Source organism: Homo sapiens, chromosome 18, assembly GCF_000001405.40.
Source record: "Homo sapiens chromosome 18, GRCh38.p14 Primary Assembly".
Classification (NCBI taxonomy): Eukaryota; Metazoa; Chordata; class Mammalia; order Primates; family Hominidae; genus Homo; species Homo sapiens.
The window spans coordinates 23,456,006-23,474,213 of NC_000018.10; the positions used below are offsets into that span (position 1 = coordinate 23,456,006).

General features: G+C 40.8%; 1 protein-coding gene across 6 annotated transcripts in view; it reads left to right on the forward strand.

Annotated features, from left to right (window-relative positions):
- Positions 1–18,208, forward strand: part of RIOK3 (RIO kinase 3) — a 29,854-nt gene that overhangs the window by 2,719 nt on the left and 8,927 nt on the right. For 2 of the 6 annotated variants that reach the window (NR_145477.2, NM_003831.5), the window contains exons 2-8: positions 6,959–7,074; positions 7,962–8,107; positions 8,201–8,308; positions 8,514–8,623; positions 10,128–10,271; positions 11,394–11,521; positions 17,424–17,621. Coding sequence is in view for 5 of the 6 variants with exons in the window: in NM_003831.5 (NP_003822.2) it covers positions 6,959–7,074; positions 7,962–8,107; positions 8,201–8,308; positions 8,514–8,623; positions 10,128–10,271; positions 11,394–11,521; positions 17,424–17,621 (950 nt within the window). In the remaining variant the exon portion in view is untranslated. Of the gene's footprint in view, positions 1–6,958; positions 7,075–7,961; positions 8,108–8,200; positions 8,309–8,513; positions 8,624–10,127; positions 10,272–11,393; positions 11,522–17,423; positions 17,622–18,208 lie in introns of those variants that run through there. The other 4 variants (NM_001348193.2, XM_047437912.1, XM_011526243.2 and 1 more) reach the window with 4 other exon arrangements.

Genomic DNA, 18,208 nt, shown 5'->3' on the forward strand with positions numbered 1-18,208 from the left:
CAGGATGGTCTCGATCTCTTGACATTGTGATCCTCCCACCTTGGCCTCCCAAAGTGCTGGGATTACAGGTGTGAGCCACCGCGCCCAGCCAATTTTTGTATTTTTGTGTAGAGATCGGATTTCACCATGTTGCCTAGGCTGGTCTTGAACTCCTGGGCTCAAGCAGTACCCCACCCCCTTCCGCCCTGGCCTCTCAAAATGTTAGGATTACAGGCGTGAGCCACCACGCCCAGCCCGGACTTCTTTATACTCTCAAAAATTGAGGACCCCAAATGTCTTTTGTTTACATTGATTATATCAATTGATATTTATCAATCTGAAGTTAAAACTGAGAAATAGAAAAATTTTAAGTCATTTAAAAGTCATGCTAGTCTGATGGTAGTGGGTTATCAGAACTTATTAACATTAGTGTCACTAAAGTTGATATACAACCTCCCCGCTGCTAAATTTGGCTGGCTTTAAAAAAAAAAGTCATATGTTAACATAAATAACATTTTTATATCTAAAGAAAACTTAAAAAAATAGATTAGAACATGTGAGAAAAGTGGAAAAAGAAAACAAACAAAAAAATAGAGTTGAGATCTTACTGTGTTGCTCAGCTGGTCTGGAACGTGTGGCCTCAAGCAGTCTTCCCACCATGGCCTCCCAAAGTGCTAGAATTACAGGTGTGAACCACCACACCTGGCCAAAAGAAAACTATATTTGAAAACAAAAATTAGTGAACAGTATTTTATATTTTTGCAAATCTCTAACATCTGACTTATTAGAAGATATCTGGATTCTTCTATCTTCTTTTTTTCATTCAACCTGTTGTAAGGTTGAAGTATTTGAAGAAAATCCATCCTCACAGCTAAGTAGATTGTAGCAGATATAAGTGAAGGTGGGTAATAAGAGCGTAGTAGAAATACTGAGAACAAACTGGGTTAAATATCTAAAAATGCATTTATATCTTAAATCTACTCTTTAGAAAATTTTAGAAAACACGAGAATACCAAGCACACATTCCATTGGCCATCAGTGATGATGTCATCACATCTGATGTAGACTCTGGAAAACTCCACACTCTTGGGAGAATGAGAGTTAAAAAGACAAATAATGTAATATTACTATTATGAAAATTTTGACTTCATAGACCCTCTGAATGGGTGTTGGGGATCCTTCTCCTAGAGTACCAGGGTGCAAGTTACAAAATGCTGAACTACTATTATGGACAAAGAATTTTAGGGGATATTCCAAGAAGAGAGGATTGGCAAACTGTAAGCAAAAGTGAGGAAGTGTGTAGCTCTGTTGATAGAGAGTTGTAAAAAAAATAAATAAATAGCGGTACTCCTCAAAACTGTCAAAGTTATCAAAAACAAGGAAAGTCTGAGAAACTCAACAGCCTAAGAGGAGCTTAAGGAGACGTGGCAACTAAATGTAACGTGGTATTTTGAATGGGATCCTGGAACAGAAAAAGGATGTTAGAGAAAAACTAAGGAAATCAGAGTAGAGTATGGACTTTAGTTAATAATAATTATGTATCAATATTGGTTCGTGAATTGTGACAAACGTATAATACTAATGCAAGGTATTAATAGGATAAACTACCGAGTGTAGTATTTGGGAACTGTACTGTCTTGGCAGTTTTTTTCTAGTTTTTTAAAAGTAAGACTATTCTAAAACCAAAAAAATTTTAAAAAATGGATTAGTGTTGTTATGTAGTCCCAGATTATTTTTTTCAGAGCCACTTGTCTTGAGTTGAAAAATTACTTACTTAAATATTCTGCTTAGATTATGTCTTCTAGCTGTATGGTTAGAAAGGGGACCTTCCTGTAGGTTATGTTTCTCTTGACTCGCTTCCAGTAGAGGACTGAATTTTTGTTGCTGTGTGCCTCTTTCATGTTTGCTGGTTTTCTTTTTTTTTTTTGGAGACAGAGTCTCACTCTATCGCCCAGGCTGGAGTGCAGTGGTGCAATCTTGGCTCACTGCAACCTCCACCCCTGGGCTCAAGCAATTCTTGTGCTTCAGTCTCCAGAGTGGCTGAGACTACAAGTGTGCATCACCACGCCTGGCTAGTTGTTTTTTTTTTTTTTGTATTTTAGTGGAAATGGGGTTTCACTGTGTTGCCCAGGCTGGTGTCGAACTCCTGAGCTCAAGCAATCCGCCTGCCTCAGCCTCCCAAAGTGCTAGTATTACAGGCGAGAGCCACTGCCCCCGGCTGCTGTTTTTAATTTTACTTGATTCTTTACCCATAATTGTCTGCAGGAAACCTTTAAAAAAAATGATACAAGCAGCGAAGGTCATATCTTTAGGAAGTGGAAGGAAAGGGAGATGATTCCCCACTAATGTGCAGCCAGGCAGGTGGGGGAGAATGCGGTAGTAGTGAAGAACCCCAAGGAACAGAGTTCAGTGGTGGCAGTTTTGCAAAGGAGAGGAAAACAGGGTGGGTCTTAGGGTTATTTAGCAACAGGAAAGAAAGAACCAGGAGGCTGGTTAAAAGCTTGATGGATGTCCTTTGAAGTAGAATCGCTGACTGGAAAGGATTGTATGGGGTGTCCCATCAGATTGTGACACTATAGGGAGTTTGTGTTGATGAATGGAATAGTAGGAAATGACTTTGGATAGCTAGGACAGAGCAAGATTATGGAGGGCGTTTCCCCCATCTTGTTAGATTTTTTACAAAAAGCGGTTTACTGAAGAGTCACAGATGACAGAGGATTCCCTTATATACAACCTATGGTACCTGTTCATAGGAGGAGCCTGCAGTAAATTTTCTGAGCACTTGGGATAGCAAACCACTGTGCCTATAGGGAAAACGCAGCGGGTCTTCCCCCGACCCCAGAAGCTGTCCGTCTCACAGCCTGGAAAAAGTGTATGGAGGGCTTTTAATTGTTGGCTTGAAGAGTTTGGGTTTGATTTCAAAGTATGGGAGTGGCAGCCTTTCTGAAATCTTTACTTATTTACCTCACCCAAGGAAGTTGCCTCAGTGTGAAGTGGACCAGTTGAGCTGTTACAGGGTAGTATAGTCTCTAGAGTCTAGGGTCAGTAGGAGTGGACAGCAAGGGTGCTTTGGTGCTGTTTGAGGTCTCTACTTGTTTCACTTTCTGATTCAGTGTATCTGTGAGTAGATCAATCTCTGCCTCAAAATAACAAAATTCCTGCCTGTCATTTTTGCCTCTTCTGACAAATTGTCAGCTAATACTTTAATACCTTAGCAGAATTAATTGACAGATGGCAAAGGAGTTGAAACCTCAGAAGCGGGCAGGCAAAAGGGCAACTTTCCAAGATGGGGAAAAGGACATTAGATTAGCAGGGATGTAGAAAGGCGTCAGACCTCTGCAGCCAATCACTCCAGTGTTTTCTTTTGGCACATACTGCTCAGGAAATACTGGAATGCCTCTTTATATCCAAAGCTCTATGCTGGGCTCTGAGGGTTGATGAGAAGTCTCTACCCTTCAAGGGGTTCATGCTCCATTGTGGCTAATGCATGAACCCTAATACAGTGATGAGTTCTGCATTAACAGTGTTTGCATACTGCTATGGGAACACAAAGGAAAGGGTCCAACTTTGGTAACATTGAGACAGCCTTATAGAGGAGATGGCATTTAATTGGTGTAAATAAAGAAGGAAGAAAAACCAATGGTAGAGAAAGGAATGTGTGAAGGCATGCAGCGGGGAAAGTATGCCATCTTTTTTGTTTGGTTTTGAGACAGTCTCGCTCTGTCACCCGGGCTGGAGTGAAGTGGCGCAATCTTGGCTCACTGCAACCTCCGCCTCCTGGGTTCAAGCGATTCTTCTGCCTCAGCCTTCTGAGTAGCTGGAACTATGGGCACCTGCCACCATGCCTGTAGTGTAAATTAGTATAAAAAATACTAATTTTTATATTTTTAGTAGAGATGGGGTTTCTCCATGTTGACCAGACTGGTCTCGAACTCCTGACCTCAGGTGATTCGCCTGCCTCGGCCTCTCAAAGTGCTGGGATTACAGGCGTGAGCCACTGCACACGGCCTGAGTATGCCATCTTTGGCATATAATTAGTGTTACTAGAGTGTAGGATAGATGAGGGTTGAGATTGGAAAGATAAATCAGGGCAAGTTGTAAAGGGCATCCTTTGCTGAGGAACTTGGATTTTATTTATTTAGAGCCAGGGTCTCACTCTGTCACCCAGGCTGGAGTGCAGTGGCACAATCATAGGGCTCAAATGATCCACCTCCTACTTCAGCCTCCTGAGTAGCTGGGACTGCAGGCATTTGCCACTGTGCCCAGCTAGTTTTTTAATTTTTTTGTAGAGATGATATCTTGCTGTGTTGCCTAGGGTGGGGAATTTGGATTTTATATTGCAGTCAGTAGGGCAGTTTGCTTCACACATTTCGGGGTGAGATGATAGGGAAGCTGTATAGCAAAATGCTAAGAGTGCAGCCTGGCATTGCCTTGGTTCAGAGCTTGGTACTTCCATCTATGATGTTTTCTTGGGTTAAAAGAAAAGCCTTTGTGTACCTCAGTTTTAAAATCCATAAAATGGGGATGGATTGCAACTACTCAATTGTTGTGTGATTTAAGTAATCTATGTAAGTTATGTATATTTAACCAAGTGACTTAAATATAGTGAATATTCAGATATTGTCTGTTATGTAACTGTTAGTCATTGCCAAATGTGAGTGAGAATTCTGAGTTAGACAGTCACCTGCCTTTTGGAACCTGGACTTTGAAACTGATCAGATGAAACATTTCTAGGCTAAACAGCATTGTATCTTCTACCTAGAGGATACAGAAGGAAGTCAGGAGAGTCATGAGGCCAAAAAATTAGCTATGTTCTCCAGATGATAGAAAGCTTCAAGAGTCTAGACCTTAAAATCCTTACCAGGAGAGTTCTCCACTCAATTACAGATAAGCTCTGAGTGAATGAAAGACACACCAGACTTTCAGGAAGCCTCTTCTTCTCTCCCAAGTCTGGCCTTACAGAAGGCTGGAAGAGTTCTGTGATAGTGTATTGTAGGTATGTGCTAGGTACCAGGTGTATTTCCTCAATCTCAGGGTGAGACTAGATAAAACTTGATTCTCATTCACTCAGGCATAAATATAGTTATCATTTGTCGCCTTTAGGTGCTCCACCCAAACAGCCTGAGCTAAGTAAATTCCTGAATGTCAGTACTGTGGAACCTGAACAAAGGTCACTTGCCCAGTTGTCTCTGAGTGTCATGCAGCAGGCCTTTAGACCAACTAGAGGGCCTATACTGGCTGAACTTGATCAAATAATTTTGTGGCTAAAACAGATAACATTTTATGCTATATTCTAAATTAGACACTCAGTAGTAGTTAAGGAATGAGTTTTGGACTTTATCCTAAAAGCAATGGGAAACAATAAAAAAGATTTTGAGTAAGGAGATGGAACCCATCACATCTGCATTTTAGAACAATTACTGTGTTACAGTGTGAAGAATGGAAACTACCAAGATTGAGAGCAGAAAGATTCGTTAGGATGCTCTGAAAGTAACCCAGCGAATGGGATACCTTGGAGTAGAATTATGGAAGAGGGATGGAAAGAGTTGGGCAAGTTCAGGAGATGCTTAGGCATCTTACTAAATAGTAAAGGTCTTAATCAATAGGCTATAAAATATAATCATTTGCTGCTGCTAAGTAAAGCATCTTGCTCCCTCAGAAATTATGAATTTGAAATAAACCTACAGTTTGATTTCAAGAAGGCTGAGGCAGGAGTATGTCACTGAGGAAGGTCAACTGGGTCTGACAGAATATTACTGTGTGTATTGGTATTGTTTTAAGAGCCTGTTTCTCAGCTTCTAAAGTTCAGAAATAAAATTTTGGGGCTAGGCTTGGTGGCTCACACCTGTAATCCCAGCACTTTGGGAGGCTGAGGTGGGTAGATCACCTGAGGTTAGGAGTTCGAGACCAGCCTAGACAACTTGGCAAAACCCTATCTCTACTAAAAATACAAAAATTAGCTGGGCATGGTGGCTTATGCCTATAATCCCAGCTACTCAGAAGGCTGAGGCAGGAGAATCGCTTGAACCCGGGGAGGTGGAGATTGCAGTGAGCCGAGATCACGCCACTGTACTCCAGCCTGGGTGACAGAGGAAACTGTCTCCAAAAAAAAAAAAAGAAATAAAATTTAAAAAAAAATGTGTTGTTTGTTCTTGCTATTTTTTTTTTTTTTTGGCAGGGGGTCTCATTCTGTCACCCAGGCTGGAGTGCAGTGGCGCGATCTCGACTCACTGCAACCCTAACCTCCCAGGTTCAAGCGATTCTCCTGCCTCAGCCTCCTGAGTAGCTGGGACTACAGGCATGCACCACCACAGCCCGCTAATTGTTTGTATTTCTGGTAGAGATGGGGTTTCACCATGTTGGCCAGGCTGGTCTCAAACTCCTGACCTCAGGTTATCCACCCGCCTTGGCCTGCCAAAGTGCTAGGATTACAGGCGCGCGCCACCGCGCCTGGCCTGTTCTTGTTTTTGTTTTAGCATATCCTAAGATGTTTTGAGAGGGGCTGACATAATTTGTACACTTAGATGACTCAATGCTTAAATTAGAATGAGATATAACTTTTCATTAAGCTTCAAATGGTGCTAGTTGGCATAGTCTATTCCTATAAGAAAATCTACTTGGGAAATCAGATTATAAGCAGAAGGTAGCTTGGTGAGCAAGGATTGGAATAAGAGGAATTACATGAACTCATTGGCTAGTGGGGCGATGCCAGTGGGCCTGATGCTTCCCCTCAGCTTTAAGGATATACCTACTTAGCAGGCTAGAAAGTGCTTTTGGCTGTTTTAGTTTACATATATCCTTGACTAAATTTGACCTGGGAGATAATTTTACTTTTGAGATGATTTCTGCAAATAGCTAGTTATTCATTTCTGGTTTTTAACTACATAGTTTAATTCTCAAAATATAACATTATTTGTAAAATGAGAGGTACTTTATTTCATTATGATGAATTGAGCTGTTCTTTTTTCTTTTTTCATAGTGTCCATGGGCTATTCCTCAAAATACAATATCTTGTTCTTTGGCTGATGTAATGAGTGAACAGCTGGCCAAAGAATTGCAGTTAGAAGAAGAAGCTGCCGTTTTTCCTGAAGTTGCGTAAGTAAAATTCACAAATACTTTATCTAGCAACTTATAGCAGAGTTTTAGGATTTGATGAGTAATTGTCATGACAAGTGGTTTGGAAAAAGCAGTGCAGAAGAAAGCACCATATTGAGAGTCCAGTGATACTTGAATTTTGGTCCTGATTTTGCATTGGTTTTCATTATTATCTTGGACAAACCACTGTTTCTGTGGGTTTTAGTTATATCGCGTTAATGCTGCAGTTGAACTAGATGAGGTACAGTTTTGATCAAGTGTTTGTAGTTTATCTTTTCATGAATATGTATCTATTCTTTCATTATGGATGAATGAAACATCCAGACTTTCTTTTTTTTTTTTTTTTGGAGATGGAATTTCGCTCTTGTTTCCCAGGCTAGAGTGCAATGGCACAATCTCGGCTCGGCACAACCTCCGTCTCCCGGGTTCAAGTGATTCTCCTGCCTCAGCCTCTCGAGTAGCTGGGATTACAGGCATGTGCTGCCACGTCCGGCTAATTTTGTATTTTTAGTAGAGATGGGGTTTCTCCATGTTGGTCAGGTTGGTCTCGAACTCCTGACCTCAGATGATCCGCCAGCCTCAGCCTCCCAAAGTGCTGGGATTACAGGCATGAGCCACTGCACCTGGCCTCATACTTTCATTCAGAACAAATGAATTCTAGGCCTCAGTTTAGCTTTCTCTCCCAGTTCTCTTAATCCTAGTTGGTACTCCCACAGGTGCATGCCATTGGTCTTAAGGCTAGCTGTGCAGGAGAAGGTAAATGGTTTGATAGAGTTCTTTCCCATTGTTCAATTTTAACATGGAAAAGGCACCTCCTACTCTCATAATTGGCAACCTCTGTTTACTTAAGCACATTACATTAGTTTATATTGCCTTATTTTGAATAGTGTTGCTGAAGGACCATTTATTACTGGAGAAAACATTGATACTTCCAGTGACCTTATGCTGGCTCAGATGCTACAGATGGAATATGACAGAGAATATGATGCACAGCTTAGGCGTGAAGAAAAAAAATTCAATGGAGATAGCAAAGGTATTATAACCTTATTGTGACAACTTCATTGAGTGGTAGAAAACACTCATAATGTGCTCCTAAGTAAATCTTCAACTATTTTTGCTTCTTAAGTTTCCATTTCCTTTGAAAATTATCGAAAAGTGCATCCTTATGAAGACAGCGATAGCTCTGAAGATGAGGTTGACTGGCAGGATACTCGTGATGATCCCTACAGACCAGGTACCAAAGTTTTTACTTTCTGGGGGCAGCAGAATAGAGGTATAGGAAGACTAATCTTTTCAATGAACTCTTTTAGTTTTATATTTTTCTTTGAATCTCATTTGGTAATTTACTCTTAGATTCAAATGTCTTTTCAGACAACGTTGAATGCAGCAATGTAGTCTTTGCTATTTTTATATACCTGGCTTATTTCAATTGCCTTTAGCAAAACCGGTTCCCACTCCTAAAAAGGGCTTTATTGGAAAAGGAAAAGATATCACCACCAAACATGATGAAGTAGTATGTGGGAGAAAGAACACAGCAAGAATGGAAAATGTAAGTTACAGAAAGTATCTATCTCTGAATTTAGAGTTTTGTTTGAATACCTTTCAAAAACAGGATTCTAAATATAATACCTTAGATTTCTAAAAATGTCTTTCTTTCTAAAGATGTTTTTAGATAACAATATGGCAATATCATGGAAACTGAGACATTAATGAAAATATAAAGTACCTCAGAATAAAATTCCATAACAGTGTTGAAAAACTATTTTGACTCACATTGATTCTAAAATTAATAAATAGTTATTATGAAATTAACATTTATTCTTCATCATATCTCTATAAAATAGCATCCCTACCCAAAAAACAGATAACGGTGGCGATTGGGGAATACAAATGGGAGGGAGAAATACTTTTCACCATATACTCTTTTGTGCATTTTGAATTTATTATCTTGTGCCTGAACTACCTGTGTAAAATCAGAAGTAAAGTGTAACTTTAAAAAATAGCATTCTAGGCCGGGCATGGAGGCTCATGCCTGTAATCCCAGTATTTTGGGATGCCGAGGTGGGCAGATCACCTGAGGTCAGGAGTTCAAGACCAGCCTGACCAACATGGAAAAACCCCATCTCTACTAAAAATACAAAATTAGCCAGGCATGGTGGCGCATGCCTGTAATCCCAGTTACTCGGGAGGCTGAGGCAGGAGAATTGCTTGAACCTGGGAGGCAGAGGTTGTAGTGAGCCGAGATCGTGCCACTTCACTCCAGCCTGGGCAACAAGAGTGAAACTCTGCCTCAAAAAAACAAACAAAAAAAAAGCATTCTAAATCCTTCATAAATATTGTGGTTAATATAATATATTAAACATTTAGATTTTAAAGCACAAATGCTTGTTAAGTAAACATATTCAATTATATCATTTCTAGAAATATTCCAGATCTAATTCTAGAAGAGTTCTGTCCAATAGAACTTTCTGTGGTAATGGAAATGTTCTGTATGTGTGCTGTTCAATATGGTAGCCACATTTGCTGTTGAGCACTTGAAATTTGGGTGGTATAATAGAGGAACTGAATTTTTAATTTAATTTTAATTAACTTAAATATCCAAGTGTGGCTAGTGGCTACCTAACTGAATTGCACAGTTCTAGAACATAATTGTCATGGTGTGAACATAGTCTGCTATAACAACCCACTCTCCACAAATAATTACAAAATTGTATTTCTTTGGTAAGATTTGGTGTAGCCTTCACAGTTCAATATTGTGTCCTTTGGCTAAAAGCAAGGTACAATGCACATGCCGAAAGACCTTAGTTTTGGATGTGATGAAATGTTTTCTATGCCTGGAATAAATGCCTTCCTTTGGGTTGTAATTTCTTAAATAGTATTGCTCCTCTTTCTGTGAGTTATTTAATTTTTTTCTCTGTAGTAGCTATGATTTCTGGTTTTCTAGTGTGATCATCTATTGAGTAAGAAAGACTAATCTCATTTGGTTGTTTTTGTTTTTGTTTTTAACTGTCCCTATTTTAAAATATTTAGATGCTAATTCTTCCTTTTGGCAGTTTGCACCTGAGTTTCAGGTAGGAGATGGAATTGGAATGGATTTAAAACTATCAAACCATGTTTTCAATGCTTTAAAACAACATGCCTACTCAGAAGAACGTCGAAGTGCCCGCCTACATGAGAAAAAGGAGCATTCTACAGCAGTAAGGATTTATAGATTTTTTTTTTTCTTTTTTACTAGAAAGATTCATATTAGAAAACTTTGGGTAAAGAAAAAAAAACTTCATGTTTGATATTTTTTCATGAGATTGGCTTTTTAAATCAAAGATGTAAATAAATCCAGCCACTGTGGTGCCCGCCTGTAATCCCACTACTTTGGGATAGCAGATGGAGACAGGAGGATTACTTGAGCCTAGGAGTGCAAGAACAGCCCAGGCAACATAATGATCCCCAGCTCACAAAAAAAATTAGCTGGGCATCATGGCACACACCTGTGGTCCCAGCTACCCGGGGGGCTGAGGTGGGAGGATTGGTTGAGCCCAAGAAGTTGAGGCTGCAGTGAACCATGATTGTGCCACTGTACTGCAGCCTGGGTGACAGATTGAGACCCTGCCTTAAAAAAAAAAAAAAAAAAAAAAATGTAAATAAGCCAGGTGAGGTGGCTCCCAGCACCTTGGGAAGCCAAGGTAGAAGGATCGCTTGAGCCCAGGAGTTCAAGACCAGCCTGGGCAACATAGGGAGACCCTGGGAGACCCTGTCTCAGCAAAAGTTTTAAAAAATTAGCCGGGCATGTTGGTGTGCACCTTTAGTCCCAGCTGCTCAGGAGGCTGAGGTGGGAGGATCACTTGAACCCAGGAATTTGAAGCTGTAGTGAGCCATAATCATGTCACTGCATTCCATCCTGGACAACAGAGTGAGACCCTGTCTCTCTCTCTGTCTCTAAAAAAAAAAAAGATATTAGGCCAGGCGTGGTGGCTCACACCTATAATCCCAGCACTTTGGGAGGCCAAGGCGGGCGGATCATGAGGTCAGGAGTTCGAGACCAGCCTGGCCAACATAGTGAAACCCCATCTCTAGTAAAAATACAAAAATTAGCCAGGTGTGGTGGCGGGCGCCTGTAATCCCAGCTACTCGGGAGGCTGAGGCAGGAGAATCACTTGAACCTGGGAGGTGGAGGTTGCAGTGATCAGAGATGGTGCCATTGTACTCTAGCCTGGGTGACAAGAGCAAGACTCCGTCTCAAAAAAAAAAAGTTATTAGAAGTGGCTCAGAAAATATTTTGTGATTAGCAGTCATTTTCACTTACAGTGCTTTATCTCTTGCAGGAAAAAGCAGTTGATCCTAAGACACGTTTACTTATGTATAAAATGGTCAACTCTGGAATGTTGGAGACAATCACTGGCTGTATTAGTACAGGAAAGGAGTCTGTTGTCTTTCATGCATATGGAGGGAGGTAAATGAGCAAAATATGATACCATGATATGAAAACTTAGTCTCTTCTCCCCAAGATTAATGAATTTACACAGAATCAAAGATAATGCTGCATGGCAAGCAGAGTAATTTTTAAAGTGTTATTGTAGAAAGTCTAGGCAGTATAGGAATGTATAAAAAACACAGTCATCCTAATACCACCACCCAGAGATAATCATTAATAATTTTGGGTAGACTTCTCCAGTTTTTTTCAATGCGTATATTATTATTATTATTATTATTATTTTTTGAGATGGAGTTTCACTCTTGTTCCCCAGGCTGGAGTGCAGTGGCGTGATCTTGGCTCACTGCAATCTCTGCCTCCCGGGTTCAAGCAAGGTCTCCTATCCCAGCCTCCAGAGTAGCTGGGATTACAGGCACATGCCACCACGCCTGGCTAATTTTTGTATTTTTAGTAGAGACAGGGTTTCGCCATGTTGGCTAGGCTGTCCTCAAACTCCTGACCTTAGGTGATCCACTCGCCTTGGCCTCCCAAAGTGCTGGGATTACAGGCGTGAGCCACTGCTTCCGGGCTTCCTCATCTTTATCAGTGTTTAGTATTATCAAATCTAATGCTTTTTGTCAGTGTGAGAGATGAAAAGTAACATCTTGGTATTTTGGTGTGCATTTATTTAATTATGATTAAGTTGTACATTTTTTCCAAGTGCTTTATTGGCCATTTGTATTTCTTTTTCTTGTCTTCTCTCTTGTTTATCCTTTGTCCATTTTCTGTTATACTCAATATACTCCTTTTTTTTTTTTTTTTTTTTTTTTGGGAGATGGAGTTTTGCTCTTGTTGCCCAGGGTGGAGTACAATGGCGCAATCTCAGCTCACTGCAACCTCCATCTCCTGAGTTCAAGCGATTCTCCTGTCTCAGCCTCCCAAGTAGCTGGGATTACAGGCACGCACCACCACGCCTGGCTAATTTGTGTGTTTTTAGTAGAGATGGGCTTTCACCATGTTAGCCAGGCTGGTCTCAAACTCCTGACATCAGGTGATCCACCCATCTTGGCCTCCCAAAGTGCCAAGATTACAGGCGTGAGCCACTGCGCCTGGCCTGGTATACTTAATATACTCTAATATAATAAATGTTCAGTCTTTCTGGTGGAATTGGTATCATAATCTGTACTTTGACATTTCTAAGTTAGCAAAACTAGAGAACATTCAGTTTTCTACAGCTAAAAGTTAATGCTTTTAAAAGTTTGTTAGTTTTCTGTGGTACATAATAAATTGCCACAGACTTAGCAGCCAAAACAGCATCCATTTATTATCTCATAGTTTCTGTTGACAGAATCCAGGCATGGCTTAACTAGGTTCTCTGTTCAGGGTTTCACAAGCCTGCAGTCTAGGTGTTGGCCAGGCTGTGTTCCTTTCTGGAGCTTGGCGTCCTCTTCCCTTGGCCACCTTTCAGTTGCAGCTATACGACTGAGGTCCCACTTTCTTGTTGGCTGTCAGCAGTGGGCTGCTCTCAACTCCTTGAGGCCCCTGCAGTTCCTTGCCATGGGGCCGTCTCACAGGCCTCTTCACACACTAGCTCTCACACTTTCAAAGCCAGCAGGAGAATCTCTCCAGTCTGCTAAGACTGAGACTTAGTGTTATGTTATCATGGGAATGACTAGACCATCACCTTTGCCACATAACCTAACCAGGGAGTGGCTATCCCACACATGCTCAAGGGAAGGAGGTATTATACAGGGGTGTGCACACCAAGGGGGCTGGGAGTTTTGCTTTCCACAAAGCTCTGGTTCCTTTCTTTCTTCCTCTCTCTCTCTCTCTCTCTCTCTCTCTCTCTCCCCCTCTCTCCCCCTCTCTCCCTCCCTCCCTCCCTCCCTCCCCTCCCTCCCCTCTCTCCTCTCTCCCCTCTCTCCTCTCTCTCTCTCTCTCTCCCTCTCCTCTCTCCTCTCTCTCTCTCTCTTTTTCTTTCTTTCTTTCTTTTTCTTTCCTTCTTTCTTTTTTTTTTTGAGATGGAGTCTTGCTCTGTCACCCAGGCTGGAGTGCAATGGCGCAATCTTGGCTCACTGCATCCTCTACCTCCCAAGTTCAAGTGATTCTCCTGCCTCAGCCTCCCCGGTAGCGGGGATTACAGGTACACACTACCATGCCCGGCTAATTTTTGTATTTTTAGTAGAGACGGGGTTTCACCATTTTGGCCAGGCTGGTCTCAAATTCCTGACCTTGTGATCCAACTGCCTCAGCCTCCCAAAGTGCTGGGATTACAGGCGTGGGCCACTGTGCCTGGGTCAAAGCTCTGGTTTCTGTCACTCTCAGGTTGGTCAGGCAATCAACAATTATTCAAACAGTAATTTGTGCTAGATTACTCAGGGAATAAAATATAAGACATATTTTTTACTCTCAAAGAGCTTAAGCTTTAGCTAAAAGGAGAACATTACAGTAAGAACCATTATGGTCAATGAAAGATAATTACATAATAGAGTACCCAGTTATGCAAACGAGACCTTATATGGGATAGGAATAGCGAATAGAACAAGATCATTGCCAGGCACATTCAGGGAAGATATCATAATGAAGTTGGATCTCAATCTGGATTTTAAAAATAGGTTAAAAAAAGAAATCCGTTGGAGGACCGATGGGGGCGGATCACGAGGTCAGGAGATCGAGACGATCCTGGTTAACACGGTGAAACTCCGTCTCTACTAAAAAATACAAAAAAGTTAGCCGGGCATGGTGGCGGGCATCTGTACTCCCAGCTACTTGGGAGGCTGAGGCAGGAGAATGGCGTGAACCTGGGAGCGGAGCTTGCAGTGAGCTGAGATCGCGCCACTGCACTCCAGCCTGGGTGACAGAGCAAGATTCCGTCTCAAAAAAAAAAAAAATCCAATGTTGAGTATAAAAAGCTAGTTGCAGAATATATATACAGTATATCATCTATTTAAATTTTTTAAGTCATACAGAAAATTACAGAGATGTTTATAGATGCTTGTGGATACTTATATATTATCTTTTAAAAGAGACTAGAAATACAGCATTTATGATAGTTATTGCCTCTGGTGAGTTAAGATGGGGAATGGTAATCAGAGGGCACTTCAGCGTCATCTGTAATGTTTAATTCTTTAAGAAAAAGGCTAAGGGTGGGAGAGTTGAAGTTTAGGCACTGAGAAGATTAGGAAGGTATGTGCTTAGAGGTAGTAGGTAGTAAAGTGGTGTAAGCAAACTGGAAATTGGTAAGGAGGACCTTAAAAGCTAGGCAGAGGGATGTGTCATTTGCTGAGAAACAGGATCTTTTTGTAGTAGGACAATGACAAGGCAAATCTTATAAATTGGACTCTATCCTAGAGACCTTCCAAGTAAGGGATCTCTTGTATGGCATTTTTGCTAGGGCCTCACCTACTATGTGGTTAAACTAGTCCAATGAAAGGAGCTTATCTCAAAATCTAGCCTATTCTGTCATAATGTCTTTTAAGTTATTAGAGATTTCTTCCCTGAAAATTGTGTCATCTGTTAACCAAATAGTTGAGCAGCTGTCAAGTACCAGGTACTCTTCCAGGTACTAGGGATACAGCAATGAATGGTACAAGGAAGGTCTCTGGTCTAATGGAATATGCTTCCCCCATCCTCAACCCCTCTCCATGACAATAATAAACAAAAAATATCAGATATATGCTATGCAGATAGTTAAAATAGGATGATGTCATAGTGACAGGCTGACTAGCTTTATTAGTAGGACAGGGAACGCTTCTCCAATGAAGTGACATGTGAGTGACACATCTAAGATACATCAAAGATCAGGTGGATGGGCATTCTGGACTAGAGAACAGCTAGTGCTAATGCCTTAGGACAGGTACAAAGTTAGTATCTTTGAGGGAAGCGTAAGAAACCCAGTCTCCCTGGAGCATAGGATGTGAATGGGAGAGAGGGGGCTGGAGGAGTAAGCAGGGGCTGGACCAGGTAGGATTTTGTAGGCCAGGGTAAGGAGTCTGCTCTTTGACTGCCCTGGAACCAAAGCTATGAGTTGATTCTTATTTTCAAAAGATTGCTGTGTGGAAAATGAATTATAGGAGGAGAAGAGAAGAAGCAGTAAGATCAGTTAAAACGTTGTAGTAGTTGAAGTGAGAAATGGTGAAGGGTTGGACTAGGGAGGGCGGTAGTGGAAGTGAAGAGTAGGAGAGCGTTGGTGTGTGTTTTGAAGGTAGAGAGAACAGCACACGCTGTTGGATTGGAAGTGGGTGTAGGAGGATAGATTCTGGGCTAGAGCAGCTGATGGTGGTACCGTTTGACGAGGTGAGAGCCTGGGGAAGGGTAGGGTGAGGACTCAGCATGAGTTTTGTTTTGGGCATATTAAATTTGAGATGCCTGTTAGACTTCTAAGTGATGTCATGTAGTTGTTGGATAAATGGGCCTGAAGTTCTAGGGAAAGTCAGGACTGGGATAGAAATGTGGGAGTTATCGGCCAGGCGCGGTGGCTCACGCCTGTAATCCCAGCACTTTTGGAGGCCAAGATGGGTGGATCACCTGAGGTCAGGAGTTCGAGACCAGCCTGGCCAACATGGTGAAACCCCGTCTCTACTAAAAATACAAAAATTAGCCGGGCGTGGTGGCATGCACGTGTAATCCCAGCTACTCAAGAGGCTGAGGCAGGAGAATAGCTTGAACCCGGGAGGTGGAGGTTGCAGTGAGCCAGGATTGCACCACTGTACTCCAGCCTGGGTGACAAAGTGAGACTCTGTCTCAAAAAAAAAAAGAAATGTGGGAGTTGTCTATATAGAGATGATATTTAGAGCCATGGGGCTAAGTGAAATTGCCCAGGAAGAGAAGGAAGGTTTCTTAGAACCAGGTGAAGGACTTTAACCTTTTGAGACTAAATGGAAGAGGAGTCAGCTGGGAGAATATGGTACAGAAGGAGGTTTGATTCAGATTCTGTCCTTTGGAAATATAGTTCCTTTCTTTCCCAGATTAACATCCTATCAGATATTTAAAGGTAAATATTAATATTGTTTCTCATTCCATCCACTTTTTCATTCCCACTGCCACCATCATGACTGAAGCTCACTATTGGGGGACTATTGCAGTAGCATCCTGAGTCGACCCCACACCTCTAGCCTGTCCCTGTGCCCTTCCATTCTGACAGTATCGTTCACTCGATCTTCATGAAGCACGCATTTGAGAGTGCCATACACAGAAACCCTCGCGATTCCCCACCACCTCTAGGAATTTGTCCAGGCTCTTCACAGATGTGCCTCTGTCCTGTCCTTTAGCTCCAATTTTTTTTCATTATCTCTCTCCAGCCAAGTCTTAACTATAGTGTTTGTTGTTCCTCAGACATGTCCTGTGGTTTCCTGCCTCTGCTTTTGTTCATGCTGTTCAAATCCTACCCATTGTCCTGTTTCTGTTTCAGATGGCACTTGTGCCATGAAGTCTTGCCTGACCTTTCCAATGAAGAGGGACCTTTCCTATTCATGTACTTCTTTTATTCTCCGTTGCCACTTCTTGCAGACTTGTGGGGCAGGAACCATTTGATTCACCTTTATGTCTGCTAGGAGTGAAAGAGTTATTTTTTAAAAAGCTGTTTTATTTGTTGCTTTTTATTGAATTTTGCTCCTGAACCATATTGGGAAGACTGTAGCCTATTTTCAAGTGCATATGTCTTCATTGTATTTCAAGCTTGATTCCGTAGTCATTAAGTGAAGAACATTATGTGATAGATGGTTGAAAATCGGTTGACAATTTATTTGAAAGTATATTTTATTTAAAAAATCAAACCAAAACCTAAGGCTTTATTAAGATCCAAAACCTAAAGGCTTAAAAAAACAAGACTTGACACTGAGAGAAGGTAGATCTAATTTAGTGTTACAGAATCTTTATTTTGAAATTGTTGTACTTGTGAGCTGGCAACTTGTACTGACTTGATTTTTTTTCTTCCACTTAGCATGGAGGATGAAAAGGAAGATAGTAAAGTTATACCTACAGAATGTGCCATCAAGGTATTTAAAACAACCCTTAATGAATTTAAGAATCGTGACAAATATATTAAAGATGATTTCAGGTTTAAAGATCGCTTCAGTAAACTAAATCCACGTAAGATCATCCGCATGTGGGCAGAAAAAGAAATGCACAATCTCGCAAGGTAAAGAAAATATTGTGCTAGACGTAATCTTGGGTAAATACCTTTTTGCATTAGGATAAAAAAATCCATGCTTTCTTTTACATTCATTTATAGAAATAATGAAAGGCCAGGTGTATAACCTCGATTCATACTTTTAGGATGAAAAAGCCATTTTCTTTTTTCTTTCCTCAATGAAGCTTGAGGGAAATCTGGGCATTTTCTGCCTTAGACACTTTATCATATATCTAAATGCCATTTTTAAATTGCTTTTATCACGAAGTAAAACTTCCAGCATCCAATTAGGCTTAGCATAAAAAAATGGTTTCTTTTTTGTTTCAGAAAATGTTTGTTGCATTTAATTTGTTAATTTTGTGGGAGTAAGTTCTTACCAATCAAATTACATTTTGTTTTAATTTTTATACTTGTATCTGAATTTTCTAAGCAATTTATTTTCTATCAAAGAATTTGTTTTGTCAACCAAGAAATTCAGTAATAATCCTTCTCATTAAAAACCTTTCTATTATCTTAATTTATTAAAAGCTTAATTTTAGTTTGTTATTTTCTAAAGATATTTGCTTTCAAAAGTAATTATTCATATATATCAGTTA